General features: G+C 40.8%; 1 pseudogene, besides 2 other annotated features; it reads right to left on the minus strand.

Annotated features, from left to right (window-relative positions):
- Nucleotides 4160-5501, minus strand: AHCYP5 (adenosylhomocysteinase pseudogene 5; annotated as a pseudogene).
- Nucleotides 7307-7896: an enhancer, noted in NCBI's record as "OCT4-NANOG-H3K27ac hESC enhancer chr2:196450653-196451242 (GRCh37/hg19 assembly coordinates)". NCBI's record gives its function as "activates a minimal SCP1, AML or CMV promoter by ChIP-STARR-seq in primed H9 embryonic stem cells {active_cell/tissue: H9 hESC(primed)}" and the evidence as "EXISTENCE:reporter gene assay evidence [ECO:0000049][PMID:30033119]".
- Nucleotides 9447-9946: an enhancer, noted in NCBI's record as "H3K4me1 hESC enhancer chr2:196452793-196453292 (GRCh37/hg19 assembly coordinates)". NCBI's record gives its function as "activates a minimal SCP1, AML or CMV promoter by ChIP-STARR-seq in naive H9 embryonic stem cells {active_cell/tissue: H9 hESC(naive)}" and the evidence as "EXISTENCE:reporter gene assay evidence [ECO:0000049][PMID:30033119]".

Genomic DNA, 17306 nt, shown 5'->3' on the forward strand with positions numbered 1-17306 from the left:
TATTATTATTTTTATTTTTTTGAGACGGAGTCTCGCTTTGTCGCCCAGGCTGGAGTGCAGTGGCACAATCTCAGCTCACTGCAACCTCCGCCTCCCGGGTTCACGCCATTCTCCTGCCTCATCCTCTCCAGGTAGCTGGGACTACAGGCGCCCGCCACCACGCCTGGCTAATTTTTTTGTATTTTTAGTAGAGACGGGGTTTCACCATGGTCTTGATCTCCTGACTTCATGATCTGCCCGCCTCAGCCTCCCAAAGTGCTGGAATTACAAGCGTGAGCCACCGCGCCTGGCCATAAATTATATATTTAAAAAAAAGAAAGATACAAAAAAAGGTGTCCTTGGTCAAGTACTTGACTGGATCTAAGTATGTGTAGAGAAGTGTTTTATCTTAATTTCCTGGTCCTTTATGTCTTTTACTTTGTTACTGCATTAAGCTGTTTGTAGTATGATGACAGCTTACCAATAAAAAAAGATTTCTATTTTTTTAAGTTTTTAAAAATTTTTAAATTCAATTAAATTTTTTTTCACCCTGCCCATCCCTCAAAATTAACTTCTAATTAAGCATTTTGGCTAAAAATGTTTCCTCAATATATTAGAAAAACCTGGTTATTCCTGGGCTCAAGCTCCTGGACTCAAGCAGTTCTCCCACCTCAGCCTCCTGAATAGCTTAGACAACAGGCATGTGCTATCACATCTGTCTAATTTTTTTTTTTAAGAATGGGGGTCTCACTATGTTGCCCAGGTTGGTCTCAAACTCCTGGGCTCAAGGGATCCTCCTGCCTTGGCCTCCCAAAAGTGCTGGGATCACAGGCCTGAGCCCCTGGGCCCAGCCTGAATGATTAGTTTCATCCTAGAATATTTGTTTACCTTCAGACATGGGCTATGAGAAATCTGGACGGTTAGAAATAAATGTTTAAAGACCAAGATACCGTATACATATGTAACTAACCTGCATGTTGTGCACATGTACCCTAAAACTTAAAGTATAAAAAAAAAAAAGACCAAGATACCTATTTAATATATGATTTCTTTCCTGACTTTCCCTTCATTTTTCAGATTTATGACATTTTTGTCTTTATTTAAAATATCACTTCAAGCCAACAAGTATTATAAAAATGACATATTGGTATTTGTGCACAAAGAACCGAGGAAATGGAATTTTACTTTGCCAGTTTCAGAGACCATAGCACTCAAGCTTCTCATCATCAGTATGTTTGGATGAAAAGATAGTCTTTGTCATGAAAGTATATGCACCCACATTTAGCCATGGACAAAACTTTCCTGGAAGGAAGCAGAGATTTTTTTTTTATTATTTTGGGAAAGTGTACTGAGGCATATCTCTAAAAATAAAATAGCACTTCATCAGTACTGGTCATTTTTTAGCCACATATGACAAATGATCACATATGCTCATAAAAATCTAAAAGGAACTGAATGTTGTTCTCTTCTGAAATGGCTAAGTATCTTTCCTTTAAACTGTATTTTAAAACAAAAACAAACTTTACCACTTTGATTGAAGAAAATGCAGGAAGCCATATGGTCCCACCCAAAGTTCCTGCATGCAAAATATCATGGGGAGGAAGGTTCAAGGTGTTTTTAAGAACATAACTTTTATGTTTCTGCCCTTTAACAATGGCACTTCCTGTTTTGTCCTCTAACTATAATGAGGCTATCAAGACAGATTATGGACTTCTCCTTTTTGCACAGTGAAGAGCGTGTATACACCATCTTACCACGTGTGTAGAATTCAAACTAAGTATTGCCATTACTCAATTCTCCTGAGGTCCAACAGGTTGATCTATGGTCTCTCAACAAGGGTTGGAATGTTCAGTAATTTACAGTTACCTAGTCATAAATCTGGTATTGAAGTCAATGGAATGTCCAGTATTCTTTATCTCAAATATACATGAAGCTACATGTTGCAACTAAATAGCCCCTGTGTTTTACTAGAAGCTGTTAACAACCCTTAACAGATTAGGATTCAGTGATTGCCTCCTTGTAAGGCAATTATTTTTTCTTCTTTTTTCTTTCAAAAAAGAGAAAAAGAAAGGAAGAAAATAGGAAAAGAGGATAAAATGAAGGAAAGAAGAAAGAAAGGAAGTGTGGAAGAGGGAGGAAAAATGAAGGAAGGAAAGAAAAATAGAGTAGAATGAGAAGATCATGACTTCAAGTGAGAAAGAAGCTACTTTCAATAATCAGAGTATCTGTTGCTTCCCAAAATCAGAAAAAATATGTTTTTAGGGCCAGGTGCAGTGACTCATGCCTGTGATCCCAGCACTTTGGAAGGCTAAGGCAGGCGGATCACTTGAGGCCAGGAGTTTGTGACCAACCTGGTCAATATGGTGAAACCCTGTCTCTACTAAAAATACAAAAATTAGCTGGGCGTAGTGGCACATGCCTCTAATCCCAGCTACTCCGGAAGCTGAGGCAGGAGAAGCACTTGAACCCAGGAGACAGAGGTTGCAGTGAGCCAAGAATGCGCCACTGCACTCCAGCCTGGTTGACAGTGAGATTCTGTCTCAAAAATAAATAAATAAATAAATAAATAAATAAATAAATAAATAAATAAATATAAATAAATTTCTTCAGGCATTTCTTATTATAATTAATGGTTTATGTTTGGTCTTTAAAAAAAACAAGAAACGTACATGTTTTAGATGTAGATTCCAGATTGTTACCCATACCAAATGATACTAAAACAATAACACATTTGCTAAAGCAAAAGATAAGAAAAACACCCACAAAAGATGCTATTGATGTAGCTAATGCAGTGGCAAAGTTGTTAAGACTGCTAATTCCTTTTGGAAATCTGTGCAACTTGATGAGCAGCTGCACAAAATATATTAGTGGGAGATCTGAGATAACCAACAATAATTAGGAAAGTCCATTTTTAGCAGAATGCATTCTGGGGCAGAAATAAGTTTAAATGCAGATTTTCTGGCATAATAACTAAAGTGATTAGGTTTTCCTGACTAATATTTCTATAAATTTACAAAACTGAAATCAGACCAGCCTGGGCAACATAGGGAGACCTCATCTCTACAGAAGAATTTAAAAATTAGCCAGGCCTGGTGGCATGAGCTTGTAGTCCCAGCTACTCAGGAGGCTGAGGCAGGAGGATTGCTTGAGCCCAGGAGGACAAGGCCCATGGGTCAAGTAACCCATGATTGTGCCATTGCGCTCTAGCATGGGCAGCAGAACAAGACCCCGTTTCAAAACAACAACAAACAACAAAAAAAGAAAAAAGAAAAAAACCCTGAAATCACAATAAGCAATTGACAAAAAGCAATGTTTTCAGTAAACACTTTGTAAAATAATTGTGCTCTAAAAATTATAACCAGTACACGCTTTCTTTCATTCTTAAAGTTATTTTTTTTCTTTTTTAGGCACCAAAATTTTTATTGACCCCCCCTCCTGCTTTCTTTTAACATTATAAATGTTATATAAACATTTTAAACCAAATTACTCTTTTTGACACAGGGTTGTGATAAGAACCATCCTGTTACAAAGTGGTGGTGGATCTACGCTTGCTTTTACTTTTTCTGGCCCCTCTCAACCTCTGGCTGTCGCTTCTCTGTCCTCTCTTGATTGTTCCTTAACAGTCTATGCTTATCTTTGTACAATACACACTAAAAGTACCAACCTCATTGTTACATAGTTTAAAAGAAGCCCCAGCACTAAACCAGGCTTTCAGGAACATTCCAACTCCAACAGTTCCTCCTTGCCCTTGGATATAGCTCCTTCTCAGCTGTCATGGACTTAGGAACCATTGAGCCTATAAACAAACACATGGGTATAACTCCATAGGCCTGGTGAAGGCCTAGATGGTAAAATGTATGGGTTTTGTGACCCCACTATCAACCTCCAGGCTAGTGAAGAACTGACTTAGTGAGCAGTTCCAAGACCACTGAGCTCATGGTTCCCTCTGGCTGTCTCCATTATACCTCCATCATAACCAGGGCTTCAGGAGGGGCCTCTGAATTCCCCCTGCCACATTTGTAACAGTATGAGGGATGCAGCAGAGTCCAAAAACTAAGTGACCAACTTCAGGGTGCCAATGGGGGACACTGACAAACCAATCATAAAGTTGGTGCCATTTGCTCTTGGGCAGGAGAGGCGGGGTCCAGGGAAGCACAGCAGCTAGAAAGTAGAGGGAAGGCCTGGCTCTCAGTAGCAGTAGGGATCAGACTCGAAGGGGCTATCACGGGACATGCCCAGGTACAGGGCCTGCTTCTCAGTGAGCTTGGTCAGCTTCTCATTCAGCTTGCTCCAGTGGGCTTCAAGCACTGCTTCATCCAGCTTCTTGGGCCCAAAGTGAACCCTAATGGGGTACTTGTCTGGGTGAGTCCACAGCTCAATCTGTGCCATCACCTGGTTGGTGAGGGAGTTACTCATCAAAGAGTTGGGGTGGCCCATAACACAACCCAGGTTGACCAGCCAGCCCTCAGCCAGCAGGATGATGCAGCACCCGTTCTTTAACCAGGAGCGGTCCACCTGGGCTTGATGTTCATCTTCCCGACAGCATTTTTGTTGAGCCACTCGACATCAATCTCCATGTCAAAGTGCCAGTGTTACCATGACGGCATCATCCTTCATCTGCTTAAAGTGCCAATCAAGGATGCTGTCATTACAGCCTGTGGTGGTGACAAAGATGTCCTCCTGACAGGCCTTGTCCATGGTTGTCACCTCATAGCTCTCCATGGCAGCCTGCAGTGCATTGATGGGGTCAATCTCGGTGACAATGACATGATCCACAAAACCCCTGAGGGCCTGGGCACAGTCCTTGCCCACATTGCCATAGCCCACTATCACTACTACCTTGCTGGCAGTCACCACCTCTGTGGCCTGCATGATGCCATCTGTGAGGGATGCTTGCTTGCTCTTGGTGACAGAGTCGTTCACATTGATGGCAGGCACCTTCAGGATCCCATTGGCCATCATCTTGTGTAAGTTGTGGACCCCAGTCAGGGTCTCTTGGGAGATGCCTCGATGCCCAACAGGAGCTGTGGGAACTTGGTGTGAATGAATGACATTGAGGGGCCCGTCCTTTTAGTTCACTGTGTGCTGGATGCACCACTGGTACTCCTCGTCTGTTTCTCCCTTCCAGGCATACACTGGAATGCCAGCCTTGGCAATGGCAGTGCCGCATGGTCCTGGGTGGAGAAGAGGTTGCAGGTGGACAACTGCCCCTCAGCACCCAGGGAGATGAGGGTCTCAATGAGGACGGCGGTCTCCACAGTCCATGTGCAGACAGCCAGCGATGCAGGTGCCTTTCAGTGGTTTGGAGGTTGAGTGCAACTTCTACCTGCACATCAGGCCCAGCATCTCATCCTCTGCAATGTCTAGGGTCTTGTGTCCCCAGGCAGCCAGATCCATATCAGTGACTTTGTAGGGCAGTTTGTCAGACATGCTGGAAGCACTTCTGCATAGAGTGGGGGACACAGGTGAAGGGGGCCGGGCCTCCGACTAGGGACAGACACAGCACAGGCTGTTCCGGGCAGAGCAGTTTAGGTTTATATATTATATAATTTCTCATAAGTAAACAGTTCATAAATTGATACTTTTGATTCATTTTGAATATCAGGTCAGGGAATTAGGGATTAGATAAAAAATATGTATACGCATATATAAATATTTTTTTGAGACAGGGTCTGGCTCTATTGTCCAAGCAGGAGTGCAGTGGCACAATCTTGGCTCACTGCAGCCTTGACTCAAGCAATCCTCCTACCTCAGCCTCCCAAGTAGCTGGAACTACAGGCATGCCACCGCACCCGGCTAGTTTTTGTATTTTTTGTAGAGGGTTTACCAGAAGTAGATATATAATTTAAAAAAAATTTATAAGCTAAATATATAACGTGATCATGATAATTCATTAAGTTCACAAGACACTCAGTGCCTAGATCAAATGAGCTTTAGAAATTAAGGCCAGGTGTGGTGGTTCACGACTGTAATCCTAGCACTTTGGGAGGCCACGTCTGAGAGGATCACTTGAGTTCAGGAGTTCAAGACCAGCCTAGGCAACAGAGTGAGACCTCTTCTCTATTAATTTTAAAGAACAAAAAAATTAAAATTAAAAAAGTTAATGTTTAAATTAATTTTTAACTGGATCTCAGCAAGTCCAGTTTTAGATAATGAGAGTTATTCTGTATTTTAATCATAGTACCACTCATTACTTAATCTCCAGTAAGTCTGACCAATTTACTCCAATAAATTCATTTTCCTCTTTGTTAAATAGAGATAATAGCCCCTACTTTATAAGATTGTTTGGAAGATTAAAATGAGATAATGCATGTGAAATGCTTAGTGCAATGTCTGGTGTCTTACTAGTGCACAGTAAGCCTGCTATAAAATTACCAGTTGTAGGCCGGGCACAGTGGCTGACGCCTGTAATCTCAGCACTTTGGGAGGCCGAGGCAGGTGGATCACCCAAGGTGAGGAGTTCAAGACCAGCCTGGCCAACATGGTGAAACCCCGTCTCTACAAAAATTAGCCTGGTGCCATGGTGGCACGTGCCTGTAGACCCAGCTACTTGGGAGGCAGAGGCAGGAGAATTGCTTGAACCCGGGAGGCAGAGGTTGCAGTGAGCCAAGATCACGCCATTGCACTCCTGCCTGGGCAACAGAGCAAGACTCCCTCTCAAAAAAATAAATAAAATTACCAGTTGCAATACTGTTACTGATGATGGTAATGATGATGCTTGTTCTACAAGGGTTCTAAACTTCCTCCAGAGGCTTCTAGTTTTACCTAAACTAAAAGCTAAGCCCTGCCCTCCCCACCTCTCTTGTTCTCCTTAAGAACGCAATTTTCATACAGAAATGAAATGTTAGAATTCCAGCGTCCTGCAGAATTACAGGACGTCTACAGGACACTGGAATTCTAACTTTATTCCTCAGTAATTCTTACTTACTTACAGTAGTTCTAATGTTATTCCTCAGTAATTCTTACTTAAGGTGTGTGTAGACTTGAAGAATGACAAAGCCATCCTTGACTGTGTGCAGTAGCTCACGCCTGTAATCCCAGCACTTTGAGAGGCTGAGATGAGCAGATCACTTGAGGTCAGAAGTTTGGGACCAGCCTGGCCAACATAGTGAAACCCTGTCTCTAGTAAAAATACAAAAATTAGCCGGGAGTGGTGGCATGGCCCTGTAGTCCCAGCTACTTGGGAGGCTGAGACAGGAGAATCGCTTGAATCTGGGAGGCGGAGGTTGCAAGTGGTGCCTCTGCACTTTAACCTGACCAACAGAGCGAGGCTCTGTCAAAATCAAAAAGAAAAAAGAAAAGGCCACTCTTGAATCATGTGGAAGCTGCTTCTGAAGAGAAAGAACTCACAAAGTCAGCACTGTTTTATTTGACATTTGCTCATTTTGCAGTGAAAACTACACAGCAAAGTCCTTAGAATCATCACTTTAAAGGTGTAAGTTTTAACATCAGTTATCTCTCAAGTGTAAAATTGTAGCCCTACAGAGTTTGATAAAATTGTAAAATGGAGTTTGGATGTTTAGGGAAAATTTATCTGTGCTAAGAAAAATGGAGAGAATTAACAAGCTATAAAAATTACAAAAGCTAGAAATTTGCAGTAGATTAAGATTTGATGGGGATCCATGGTGATGCTAATTAGTAACAGCAAGCCCCTCCCAAAAGCTCATCACAGGAATACCTTAGGCTGAGGTAGGCTCAGACCATTTTGACCTTTCATCCTATCTCTTCCTACCAACACAGAGGGAGATTTATTTTAGGGAAAGCACAACTGGCATTCTTCTTTGGACCCAGAGCACCTTGAAGAGCTGTTGCCAGGGTAAGTCTTCTTATGTTCCACCCACCCTGGATTTAAGGCATATCATTACTGAGGCTGGGCAAAGGATATTTAGTGCCTCTCTGACGTGACTGTGTATTTCTGTACTATTTAAGCACTTGAACTTGATGTTGTGGGGCTGGCACCCAACCAAGATTCAAGGATGGTAGAGTGCTTCTGGTGTATTAATGAAATATTTTGTTGAAGATACAAATTTCTACAGAATAGAAACTGACTACCCAAAGAAAAATTTTGTCAACTTTGAATCTAAGGTTTGTGTACCTTGTCTACATTCTCTCATCCAGCCTCCTTTCTCATCTTATTAGCAGAGAAATAAATCTAGGAACGACTAAGTCTAGTAACAAAATAAGTGTTTGGCACATAGAAAACTGAATTACAGATATTAATATATACACAGGAGATCATTTATTTGAAGCTTAAATTATTAGATCTATGTTTTTAAAAGCAATTCAATATAAGATGAAACAAAACTGAGGTGACTGGTTTCCTTGCCATCTCTCTAAGTGATGTGGTGTTCCATCTAATAGCTTATGAGTCAGTAGTGTGATCCACACAATTTAATTGTGAGGAATCAAGTAAGACAAAGATTATAGATTTGATTTGTTCCTCTCAATGTTGCTTTCAATTATGAGGGTCTAGATTCTAGGATCATGCAGAATGTTGGATATACGACACAATTCTCAGGCAACATTATTTAAGGCAATAAACAAAAGCGCAAAAAAAAATGTGTCTTTTAACTTTCCTGATAAGCTGTTATTTATTTATTTATTTATTTATTTATTTATTTTTTAGACACAGTCTTGCTCTGTCATCCAGGCTGGAGTGCAGCGGCGCAATCTTGGCTCACTGCAACCTCAGCGTTCCAGGTTCAAGCAATTCTTGTGCCTCAGCCTCCCAAGTAGCTGAGACTGTAGGCATGCACACCACCATGCCCGGCTAATTTTTGTATTTTTATTACAGACGGGGTTTCACCATGTTTACCAGGCTGGTCTTGAACTCCTGGCCACCCTCAAGTGATCCGCCCACCTCAGCCTCCCAAAGTGCTGGGATTACAGGCAACTTTCTGGATAAACTTTTGAATTAAGAGAAAAAGGAAACAATAACAAAAAAGTTTTAGCTCCTTCTGTGTGAAATATATAATTTTGACACAGATAGTGGTGCATATGTCTATGCTGATGGTTCATAACATCACAGTAATTTGCACAGTAGATGATACACTAAAGTCCTTCGGTTAGCAGCTTATAAATAGTTTGAGGCTTGTGTGTAATTCTGTAAAAAAAAAAAAGAAAGAAAATAAGCAGTTTGATCAAGAAAGATTTTCAGGCTGATTAGAAAATGGAAATAGTAAAATATTAAATCAGTAAAATACATAAAATCGTAATGAAAAAGATATACTGCTAGCATGACCTCATGTCTTTAAAGTGATCATTAAACCCCCAAATACCTAAATTATGTGATGAAGGAATATATACAGAAAAACTAAGGGTTAAACTGAACACTAAAAACTTTTCTAGGCCAGGAGCAGTGGCTCACACCTGTAGCCCCAGCACTTGGGAGGCCAAGGAGGCTGGATCGGTTGAGCTCAGGAGTTTGAAACCAGCCTGGGCAACCTGGTGAAACCCAGGCTCTACAAAAAAAAAAAAAAAAAAAATTAGCTGGATGTGTTTGTGTAGGCCTGTAGTCCTAGCTACTCGGGAACCTGAGGCAGAAGGATCACTTGAGCCCAGGAGGCGGAGGTTGCAGTGAGCCATGATCATACCACTGCACTCCAGCCTGGACAGCAGAGCCAAACCCTGTCTCAAAAAAATGTTTTTTCTACTCTAAACGAGTCATTTAGAAGCACTGATTCAAACTGCAAAACACTTTTATGAAATGGTGAAACAGAAAAATATTACGTGAATGTAAAAGGATGTTAGGAAGGACAAGAGATGATAAAAATAAATGCAGATAAATTTCCATACAATGTAAAGTATGCACATTAAAACATTTAAAGAGCATGTGCGCTTTTCACGATGCTGGCCTTAAGGTTGAAGAATCAAAGATAATACAAAGAGAGGTTGTACAATACAGAGACAAAACTGTGGTCATTAAATAGTACTTAATACCTTCTGGGAAACTAATATTGAACACTGAAAATGGGTAAAAAATTTTCAAATCCTGGTTTATATTATATATCCTCCACTGGAATTGCTTTGTAGTCTTAAAAAAATGTTAATATGTTGCACCTTGAGATTAGCTGTGGCAAGGGTATAATTTTAAAAATAAAAGAAAATTACTTACAGGCCCAGACTGCTCAGTAGGCATTTTAGGTCAGTGCCAACTGCTAAGTGTACTGGGGGGTGTCCAGTCCCTGGGATAGAAGCACAGATTCCAGGCTATTGGAATGGCTGAAGTGTGAATTAACTCTGTTGGTGCAAACTCTCTTCCAGCTCAAAATATTCTTGCTCCCAAAAGGAGCAGGCCCATCCCAAGTTTAGATTTCTGAAAACTTCTCTCTTGGAAAGTATGTTATTTATACTTCTTGTTGAATGCCTTGAAATTAAAAAAAAAAAAAACAAAAACAAAACAGAAAACAAAAAAAGTATGTTATGTATTTATTTTTAATTATTAAAAAATAATGTTTTTCGAGAGAGTCTCCCTCTGTCTCCCAGTCTGGGGTACAATGGCGCGATCTTGGCTCACTGCAACCTCCGCCTCTAGGGTTCAAGAGATTCTCATGACTCAGCCTCCCAAAAAGCTGGGACCACAGGTGCACGCCACCATGCCCAGCGAAGTTTTTTGTAATGTTACTAGAGATGGGGTTTCGCCATGCTGGCCAGGCTGGTCTTGAACTCCTGACCTCAGGTGATCCACCCGCCTCAGCTTCCCAAAGTGCTAGGATTACAGGCGTGAGCCACCGCACCCAGCCCTGAAGTATGTTATTTAGAAGGGCAAAACCTCCTGAAGAAATAATATTCTAGAAACGAAGGTCAAGAGTAGCTTTAGAGAAATCCTGATGACTATTTTGTCATTCACTGAAACAAATCAATGAAATGAGCACACTAAGTGAAACCATGACACATCAGTAATGTAAATCTGGAAGAATTTTGTTTCGTTTTTCTTCTATTGACATGGGTGATGGTGGTGGTGTTTGCATCTTTTGTCTTTTATTCAATCTTCAGGCTGTTTGTCATACAATAATTTTAATAATTAATAATTAAATTTCAGGTTATCTTTTTTTTGAGACATTGTCTCACTCTGTCACCCAGGCTGGAGTGCAGTGGCGTGATCTCTGCTCACTGCAACCTCCATCTCCCCAGTTGAAGCGATTCTCCAGACTCAGCCTCACCAAGTAGCTGGAATTACAGGTGTACATATCCACCTCAGCTTCTCAAAGCTCTGTGATTACAGGCATGAGCCACCACGCCTGGCCCAGTTTCAGATTGTCTTTATTTGACCTACTGTATATAGCCTAGTAGATATTTCTCAATCCTGTCTAAAACCTGTGCTGATCTAGTCTTAAACTCCCTTCTTAACCTCACACTGAGGCTTCGGATATTAGATTATCCACTCAAGTCTCAGTTGCCTTTTTCCTTAGGATGCGATTCACATGCATCTCAGAGACCTGGAATGTCCACCTCTCAGCTTCTTTTCTCTTTGCTAATCCTCTTCAACTCTGTTTTCTATCCCCAATCTCCCATATTCCTCTTTTTTGATTACCACAAACTGGAGTTCTTCTCATTTCTCAATGGCCAACACTGAAATGTTCATAGTTTAGGAAATTGTATCCAGAAATAAAGCTGTATGTGGTAGAATTTCTCATAAAGGTACCTCAGGTAGGCAAAGCATTACTTTGATATAAGTAAATAATCCATCATTTACTGTGAAACTCTAAGATTGAGGTTTCAAGAACTAAAGAGAGGGCTAGGTGAGCCTCAGACACAGCACTCTCTACACACAGGGCCTGAAGGACAACAATGACCTGTAATGTCAGGCCGCTGTTAGCAGGTCCCTGATTGCAGCTGCAATACTTGCAGACCAAGAGGTATTTTGCACTGTTTGAATCTCTAAATTTTAGAAACTACTATATACACTTATAAAATGGAATATTTGCAGGCTGCCCAGACCTTATGGTATGTAGTACTTAATTCTAAAAGCCTTTCAAAGGAGCCAACATTAGCATTTTATTATTTTCTTCTTATAAAAATAATAAATTAAGGCTAAACCCTGGCTTACAGATGAACTATTTCTGGCTCACTATCCTTTGGCCAAATGCCTTAACCACTCAGCACACTTCTAGGTGTGCCAACTAAAGAGTTGGCACATCAGGGGATGGGAGAAGGGAGAAGGGCATGACTTTGCTTTTGTCTGGAAACCTGGTTTGAGTACAAATAAAACCAAAGGAAACCAATAGTGTTTATAAATAAGGGTATATTCTGGAATTGTGTAGGACAAAGATCAAGGCCTCTCAGATGTCAAGGAACCCCTGAACAGAAACCCTGACATCAAAGGCTGTGCATAAGGAGTAATACTTCAGAGTAAAGGGAAGCTTGGCAACCTACCAAACCAGCACAGTTTCTCCTTATTCTTCCTATACTTTAGACATGGAAGTGGGATGGTGTCTCTTGTGCAACTGCTAAGAAGAAGTGACCTTTGGATCGAAGGAAGTAGAAAGATTAAATCAGAAAGAATCAAGGTTCAGAGTCTGCAAAGCCACAAGCCCTCTGTCTGGGCCAGCAAGTTCAGTCTTTTGTTTTTTGTTTTGAGACAGGGTCTCACTGTGTCACCAAGGCTGGAGTACAGTGGTACAGTCACAGCTCGTTGTAGCCTCAACGTCCTAGGCTCAAGTGATCCTCCCAGCTTAGCCTCCCAGCTGAGCCTCGCACGTAGCTGAAACCACAGGTGTGCTCCACCATGCCTGGCTAATTGTTTTATTTTTATTTTTATTTATTGATTGATTGATTTTTTTGAGACAGAGTCTCGCTCTTGTTGCCCAGGCTGGCGTGCAATGGTGCAATCTCGGCTTACTGCAACCTCCACCTCCCGGTTCAAGCGATTCTCCTGTCTCAGCCTCTCGAGAAGCTGGGATTACAGGCACGCGCCACCATGCCCAGCTAATTTTGTACTTTTAGTGGAGATGGGGGTTTCTCCATGTTGGTCAGGCTGGTCTCGAACTCCTGACCTCAGGTGATCTGCCTGCCTTGGCCTCCCAGAGTGCTGGGATTACAGGTGTGGGACACTGCGCCCAGCCTTTATTTTTATTTTTTTGTGGCGATGGGGTCTCACTGCGTTGCCCATGCTGGTCTCAAACTCCTAGGCTCAAATGATCCTCGTGCCTCCTCCCAAAGTGCTAAGATTATAGACGTGAGCCACTATACCTGGAAAGTCTTTATTCTAGCTCTGCTATGCTTTGCCTTGCTTCCTTTAGCCACTAAAGGCTTGTGGAAAAGCAATGTATATAGTCGGATTCCAAATTCTTCTCAAGACAGCGACCTTCCAAAGTTAATTGGTTGTGGCTTCATTTGTAAATCCGTGAAGGTAGAGTGCCCAATATTGTAAAACATAACCCTAGATTTAACTTACTCATCCATTGGGTTAAAAGAAAAAGTATTTAATACAAAAAATTCAAAAGCCAAGTCAAAACTACCCTTTAAAGCAAAATGCTAACTCCAGGATTTTGGCAAAGTTTCTTTCCTTGATTGTAGTCATTTCAAGGAGAGAGAGGTTAACCTCTTCCCCTAATCTCACCTCTTCAAAGAAAAGAAGTTGAAGCAGAAAAATTAGCACTGATCTCATGTTAGGATTCAAAGGGCAGGATGAGGCTGTGTAATGTAGTGATGGAAATAGGATAAAACCCTTGTTACTGTTTTCCAGAAGCTAATCTGAGGGTTACCATGGTAACTCACCAGGGTACAAGACTGTTGTGAGCTTTAGGGAACAATTTCGGGATACATTCTTAAAAGAGAATATCAACTGCTTGCATCAAATGGGTGAGAAGTGGGGCACAGTGGCGCACATCTGTAGTCCACCTAATCTGAAGGCTGAGGCAGAAGTATAGCTTGAACCCAGGGGTTTGAGACCAGCCCAGGAAACATAGCGAGATCCTGTCTCCCTCTTACAAACACACACACACACACACACACACACACACACACACACGAGTAACAGAAGAGTCTTTTGGAAGTGGATCAAAACCGATTTAAGGTTTTGGTTTGAATTTTTGAAAAAGTAGGTGTCTTGGGTGAAAAACAACAGAAAAAAGTCAACCGGTAAGTCTTGCCAAGTCTGGAGGAGAAGACTCACACTAAATTGCAGGGCTAAAAGAAAGAACCTAAAAGTCAAAAGCAATTGGAGCTATTTGGTAATTAAAATATGTACATTCTTTTAGAATTGAAGCTATCTGCTATTAGCTTCTTTGTTGTCCTTTTGGTTACTTATGGAAGACTCCAATTCAGCGCATTTGATCCTACTGTTTTCCTATATTCTTTTCATTCTGAAGTCATTGTTTCTATACATATTAATCGCATTATACTTCTTTTCCTCTTTTACAGAAAAGCTACATTTAAAAACGGTGTCATTGCAGCAGTTTACCAGGAACAATTATTCCTGGTAGAAGCTATTTAACTAAATACATAGGACCCTGCAACTAGATTTTTACCTTCCTTTTAATTTTATTTGATTATGCTATTATCTAAGCTTGCCTCTTTGGCTTTTCAAATTAAAGTACCACATCTCTCTGTAAGCATAAGAATCTGTACAAACAGGCATTTTTTTTTTAGCTTTTCTAGAAAATTTGAGGGGAAATATTATGGAATAGAATGGAAAATTTACAACAACATTTAAGACAAAACATAGAACTTGAAGGAAATTTTATATTTGCGGCAGGCCAGTTTCATGACAACTATGCCCTCTTAGACTCCCTTACGTTTCTCACAATTAGTACTTTACGGAAAATTTTTAAAAGACACAATTCAAGCAGTCTCCCGGGGATTCCTGAGGACCAATACAAACAGTGTAATACAGTGCAATATGAAAACCCCAAATTACTATTTAATTATTTAGACTTAGTTTATGGCATTTTGATTGGTTTTCTTTCTTTCTTTTTCTCTCTTTCTTTCTTTCTTTTCTTTCTTTCCTTTCTTTCTTTCTCTCTCTCTCTCTTTCTTTCTTTCTTCTTTTTTTTTTTTTTACAGCAATTACAGGGTGAAGTATAGGTTAGTGTGATTCTAAGTCAAACGTAAGCAAACTACTTCCCACATACCAAATCCGGTCATCGCCTGTTTTTCTACAACTTGCAAGCTAAGAATGTTTTGTGTACTTTTCGGTGGTTGAAAAAAATCAAAAGGATATTTTCTGACATATAAAAATTATATGGAATTTGAGTTTCAGCTATAAGTAGAGTTTTATTGGAACACAGCCTCACTCATTTGTCTACACATTGTCTAGGACTGCTTGTGTGACAAGGGCAGAGTTGCGTAGGTGCCACAGAGACCACATGGCTGGCAAAGCCTAAATACTTATTACCTGGGCCAGGCGCGGTGGCTCACACCTGTAATCCCAGCACTTTGGGAGGCCAAGGCGGGCGGATCACCTGAGGTCAGGAGTTCAAGACCACCCTGGCCAACGTGGTGAAACCCTGTCTCTACTAAAAATACAAAAAAATTAGCTGGGCATGGTGGCAGGCGCCTGTAATCCCAGCTACTGGGGAGGCTGAGGCAGGAGAATCGCTTGAACCCGAGAGGCAGAGTTTGCAGTGAGCTGAGATCACGCCATTGTACTCCAGCCTGGGCAACAAAGAGTGAAACTCCATCTCAAAAAAAAAAAAAATACATATATATATATATATAGCTTTTCTCTAAAAGGTCAGGCTGACCCTTTAGAGAAAAAGCTAGCCGACCTCTGATCTAAATCATTACTTCCGCTATTGATTGTCAAGTTACAGCCTGAGTTATCTAAAGAGAAAACATTAATACTCCACTAATGAAAGCTATTCTTATGCAAGTTCATTGTCCTGATATAGAAACTGAAAGGGTAGAGACCAGAGTTGGTAGGTTTGACAAGAAGGAAGATAAGATACTGAAAGAGAAAACAAGAGTAATCTCTTCCAAAAACAATGGAAAACTTTCCAGTGATATTTGCTGATAGGTGTCCTTTTTCATATCAGAAACCAAAATGCCTTATTTTCCACTATTTGTAAACTCTAAAGATACTGTCACTTAATTAGCGATTTTCTTTCAGAAGAATTAATGATCAATGTGTGCAAGTTCAAGTTCTGACCTTATTTGTCAAACTGTCTGAGGTTGAATGTTCTGGGAAAATGACAAAAGGAAGGAAGCATTTAGATATGTGTCTCCTGAGACTTAATTCATCTTTGATTAACTGAAGAAGCCATAAGAATATCTTTCTGGGCAAATAATAACCAGCTTCCTTTAAACAGAGGAAAGATACTCTTTTGAATTAAAAATCTAGTTGTAATTCTAATTTAGCCAAGTTTATTATCTCACTATTAGAGCCTAAAGAGTGCAGTACTTTTTCTTGGGTCCTAGGTAATCTTTTTTTTTTTTAAAGACAAACAAACAAACAAACAAAAAACAGAACAATTGAATTTACAATAGTACGACAGCTTTATCAGACTGCTTCTCAATTATCTTGCTGATGCACATAGTGGGTGATGTTAGTAGGGGGTAAATGCTTGCTTGGGTGTGCCCGAGATTATATACAATTCCAGGAATTCCTAGCTGTATTGAAATCCCTCATTTCACACTCAGAGTTGTAGAATGCAAATGAATATAAGGAAAGCTATGAATCCACCCTTGTGTATGTATTAAGTAAACTTCAAACATTTATGCCAATTTTACAACTTGTGAACAACAAATTAATTGACATGTCTCGTATTTTCTTCAAATTTGGTCTTGAGGTGTCTCTCTGGAGAATGACTATAAATTCTAGCCCTGCGCTGATGGGGCTTCAGGGATGGTGGTTGTGGATGTTTACAGGGTGCTTTTCACAGGATACTTCTTTATGATAGTGGACAGCCTAATGTCTAAGTGTCCAACCTCTGATCAGGTGTCCCTCTCACAGGAAACTTGTTTATATTGGCAGAGAAACTTGTGGCTCTCATCTGACCTGTGTCCTGTTTAATCTTGTAAGAAAGCCAATCTCTAGGAGAGCTCTGATCAGGAAAGAAGTTAGGTTCAGCTGTGTCAGCCAGGTAAGACACAGAGGAGACCACTCAACAAAACACATGAAATAACAGAAGCAGTTTATTACTTACAGGTCCGAAAAGAAGAGGGCTGCATGCCTGGAAGGGGAAATGCAAAGTAGGGGCCCATCCAGGACACACATGCTTGATGGGGAGCGAGAGAGAAGGAGAGAAAAGACAAGAGGGCTAAAGCCTTTATTGGGGTCCAGGGTGTTACCTGAGCAGGTTTCCAGTGCGGCGTTCTAATCAGTGAGTCTAGAGCAAGCAGGCACAAGTTCCACGGAGGCACTTGTGGACTAAGATGGTCATTGA

This window comes from Homo sapiens, chromosome 2 (assembly GCF_000001405.40).
Source record: "Homo sapiens chromosome 2, GRCh38.p14 Primary Assembly".
Taxonomy (NCBI): domain Eukaryota; kingdom Metazoa; phylum Chordata; class Mammalia; order Primates; family Hominidae; genus Homo; species Homo sapiens.